The sequence below is a fragment of the Homo sapiens genome, chromosome 6, assembly GCF_000001405.40.
Source record: "Homo sapiens chromosome 6, GRCh38.p14 Primary Assembly".
Taxonomy (NCBI): domain Eukaryota; kingdom Metazoa; phylum Chordata; class Mammalia; order Primates; family Hominidae; genus Homo; species Homo sapiens.
This window is the reverse complement of record NC_000006.12, coordinates 117,086,576-117,090,907: the sequence shown is the minus strand read 5'-3', so window position 1 is coordinate 117,090,907 and position 4,332 is coordinate 117,086,576. Positions and strand designations below refer to the sequence as shown.

General features: G+C 32.7%; 1 annotated feature.

Annotated features, from left to right (window-relative positions):
* Positions 3,534-4,126: an enhancer, noted in NCBI's record as "NANOG hESC enhancer chr6:117407945-117408537 (GRCh37/hg19 assembly coordinates)". NCBI's record gives its function as "activates a minimal SCP1, AML or CMV promoter by ChIP-STARR-seq in primed H9 embryonic stem cells {active_cell/tissue: H9 hESC(primed)}" and the evidence as "EXISTENCE:reporter gene assay evidence [ECO:0000049][PMID:30033119]".

Sequence of the window (4,332 nt, the reverse complement as noted above, 5' to 3'; positions counted from 1 at the left end):
TGAGCCCCTGGAAACAATTGATCTCATCATATAAATGGAATCGTACAATATGTAGCTTTTAGTGTTTAGCTTCTTTCACTGAGCATAATGCTTCATTTTAAAAAAATGGTCTTGAGATAATTGTAGATTGACAGGTAAGAAGTGATAGAGACCCATGTTTCCTTTGCACAGTTTCTGCCAATGGTAACATCTTGCAAAACTGTTGTACAATATTTCAACCATGATGTTTACATTGATGCAGTCAAGGTAGAGAACATTTTCATCACCACAAGGATCCCTCTTATTGCCTTTTTATAGTCACAATCACTTCCCTCAAATCCCCAACCCCTCCTTAACACCTGGCAACCAATAATCTATTCTCCATTTCTATAATAAAGTCATCTCAAGGGGATCATTAAAGTCTGGAAACAATAGATGCTGGCAAGGACGTGGAGAAATAGGAACGCTTTTACACTGTTGGTGGGAGTGTAAATTAGTTCAACTATTGTAGAAGACAGTGTGGTGATTCCTCAAGGATATAGAACCAGAAATACCATTTGACCCAGCAATCCCATTATTGGGTATATACCCAAAGGATTATAAATCATTCTACTATAAAGACACATGCACACGTATGTTTATTGCAGCACTATTTACAATAGCAAAGACTTGGAACCAACCCAAATGCCCATCAATGATAGACTGGATAAAGAAAATGTGGCACATATTCACCATGGAATACTATGCAGCCATAAAAAAGAATGAGTTCATGTCCTTTGCGGGGACATGAATGAAGCTGGAAACCATCATTCTTAGCAAACTAACACAGAAACAGAAAAGCAAACACTGCATATTCTCATTCATAAGTGGGAGCTAAACAATGAGAAGACATGGACATAGGGAGGGAAACGTCACACACTGGGGCCTGTTGGGGGGTGGGGGGAAAGGGAGGGAGAGCATTAGGACAAATACTGAATGCATGTGGAGCTTAAAACCTAGATGACAGATTGATAGATGCAGCAAACCACCATCGCACATGTATATCTATGTAACAAACCTGCACGTTCGGCACATGTATCCCAGAACTTGAAGTAAAATAAATAAATAAATAAATAAATAAATAAATAAATAAATAAATAAATAAAATGTAAATGTAATCATATAACATGTATTCTTTGAGGATTGGCTTTTTTCACTTTGCATAATTCTCTGGAGATTCATCCAGGATGTTCTGTGTCTCAATAGTTTATTCTTCTCTACTGCTTAGCAGCATTCCATAGTATGAGTGCACTACAATTTAACCATTCACTCACTGAAAGACATCAGAGTTGCTTCCAGTTTGGGAGTAATATAAACAAAACTGCTACAAATATTTGTGTACAGGTTTTTCTGTGAGCATAAGTCTGCATTTCCCTGGAATAAATGTCCAAGAGTGCAATTACTGGACCATATTGTATTTGCATATTTAGTTTTAAAAAAAGTCAAATTATTTACCTAAGTAGTTGTACCAATTCATTTTTAACAGCAATGAATGTGTGATCCTATTTCTTTGCATTTTTCCAGCATTTGTTGTAGTCACTACTTTAAAAAATTTCAGTCATTCTCATAGGTATATAGTGAGATCTCATTTTGGTTTTAATTTTTATTTCCCTAATGACTAATGATAAGTAACATCTTCTCATGTGCTTATTTCTGCTTTATACTCCTTCATGAAATGCCTCTTCATGTCTTTTGCATATTTTCAAATTGTAGCAGGTTGTTTTACCATTAAATTTTCAGAATTTAAAAATTACCTTCTAGATAGTAGATCTTTGTTAGATATGTGGTTTGTAAATATTTTCTCCCACTCTATAGATTGCTGAGTTTTTAATCCTCTTATCAGGGTCTTTCACAGAGAAAAAGTTTTATTTTGACGAAGTCTAGTTTATCTATTTTTCCTTTTGTGAATTATGCTTTTGGTGTCAGATCTAAGAACTCTTTGCCTAGCTCTATATCCTGAATATTTTCTTCTAGAAGTTTTATAGCTTTACACTCATGTTTAAGTCTGTGATCATTTTAAGCCACTCTTTGTGAAACGTGTGAGATTTGAGTCAAGGATAATCTTTTTGGCCTGTAGTCTCCAGAGCTCTGGCACCATTTGTGGAAAAGTCTAGTCTTCCTCTGTTGAATTGGTTGTGCATTCTTGTCACAAATTAGTTGGAAATATTTGTATGAATGTATTTCTAGATTCTCTATTCTGTTCCATTAATTTATTTTTCTATCCCTCCACTAGTACTACACAGTCTTGATTACTGTAGCTGTGTATTAAGTCTTGAAATTGGGTAGACTGATTCTCTCTTTATTTTTCAAAAAATGTTTTAGCTATTCTAGTTCCTTTGCCTTTTCATATTAACTTTAGAATAATCTTGTCTATATCTACAAAAAAATCTTACTAGTATTTTGAAAGGAATTGCACTGAACTTTCATATCAATTTGTGGAAAATTGACCTCTCTATTATTTCAAGTCTTCTAATCCATGAACACAGTATGCCTCTCCATTTATGTAGATCTTTGATTTATTGCATTACTGTTGTGCAGTTTTCAGCATACAAGTTTTGTACATGTTTTGTTAGATTTACTCTTAAGTATTTCATTTTTTAAACAATTGCAATTGGCATCGTGTTTTTAATTTCGGTATCCACATGTTTCTTGCCAGTATATAGAAATACAACTGATTTTGGTATGTTTATCTTGTAAACTTACTGAACTCACTTATTAGTTCAAGGAAGTTTTTGGATATTCCTTAGTATTTTGTTCATAGATAATCATTTCATCTGCAAATATGGACAGTTTTATTTCTTCCTTTCCAATCTTATACATCTTTTTTTCCCTTTCATGTGTTACAGTATTGGCTAGAACTTTCAGCACCCTGTTTAATATGAGTGGTGAGAGTGAACATCCTTACCTTGCCCCCAGTCTTAGGGGAAAGCATTCAGTCCTTCCACCAGTAAGCCTAACGTTAGCTGCAGATCATCCCCCCTTGTTTTGTAAATTCTCTGTATCAAGCTGAAGAAGTTCCCTTTTGCTCATTTTCTTCTGAGAATTTTTATCATAAACGGGTGTTAAACTTTGTTAATGCTTTTTTTCAGTATTGATTGACATGATTATGCGATTTTTTTTCTTTAGCTTTTTAATATGTTGGATTACATTGCTTATTTTTTAATATTGAACAAATCTTACATTCTTGGAATAAATCCCACTTTGTAATGATGTATACTTTTAATTCCATTTGTTTATTCTTAAAAATAATTTTTGCATATATGATCGTGAGAGATAATAATCTGTAGTTTTCTTTTGTTGTACTGCCCTTGTTTCTTTTTGGTGTCAGGATAATACTAGCTTTATAAAATGAATTGTGTTCTCCTCTATTTCATAGAAAAGATCCTGTAGAATTTGTGTCACTTCTTCTTTAAATGCTTAGTAGAATTCTTCAGTGAAACTATCTGGTCCTAGAGATTCCTTTTTTGAGAGTTTTTAAATTATGAATTAAATTTCCTTAATAATTTTAAGGTTATTTGAATTTTAAGGTTATTTAATATTGGATGTGAGTTGTCGTGGTTTGTATTTTTTGAGAAAGGGTTCCATTTTGTCTACATTATAAAACTTACTTGTGTGGAGTTATTTTTAGTTTTCCCCTATTATCCTTTTGATGTCTGCAGAGTCTGTAGTGACCTCTCTGCTCCATGTTTGGTAAGGTAATTTGCATCTTCTCTCATTTATTCTTTATCAGTCTGTTTAGAGATTTTTCAGTTTTATCAATCTTTTCAAAGTATCAGCTCTTTGTATTGTTGATTTTCTCTATAGTTTTTTTGTTCTCAGTTGATGTCTATTCTTATTTAAATTACCTACTTCATACTATTTGCTTTAGGTTTAGTTTGCTCTTTTAGGTTCTTGAGGCAGGAGATTAGATTATTGATCTGAAAGTTTTCTTTTTCCCAATGTATATATTTAGTTCTATAAATGTGCCTCTCCGTAATGTGTTAGATACTTTCCACCATTTTGATAGATCGAGTTTTCATTTTTATTCAATTCAGCATATTTTTTAAATTTCCCTCTAGACTTTCTCTTTGACCCATGGATTATTTAGAAGTGTGTTGTTTAGTTTCTGAGTGTTTTGAGAGTAAAGTTTCCTGTTATCTTTCTGTTATTGATTCTAATTTTGTTCCATTATAATCAGAGAATACAGTTCGTATGATTCCAATTATTTTAAATTTGTTAAGGTTCGTTTTATGGCCCAGGATATGGTGTCTCTTGATACATGTTCTATAGGTATTTAAAAATAACATGTATTCTGTTGTTGGATGGTATATTCTT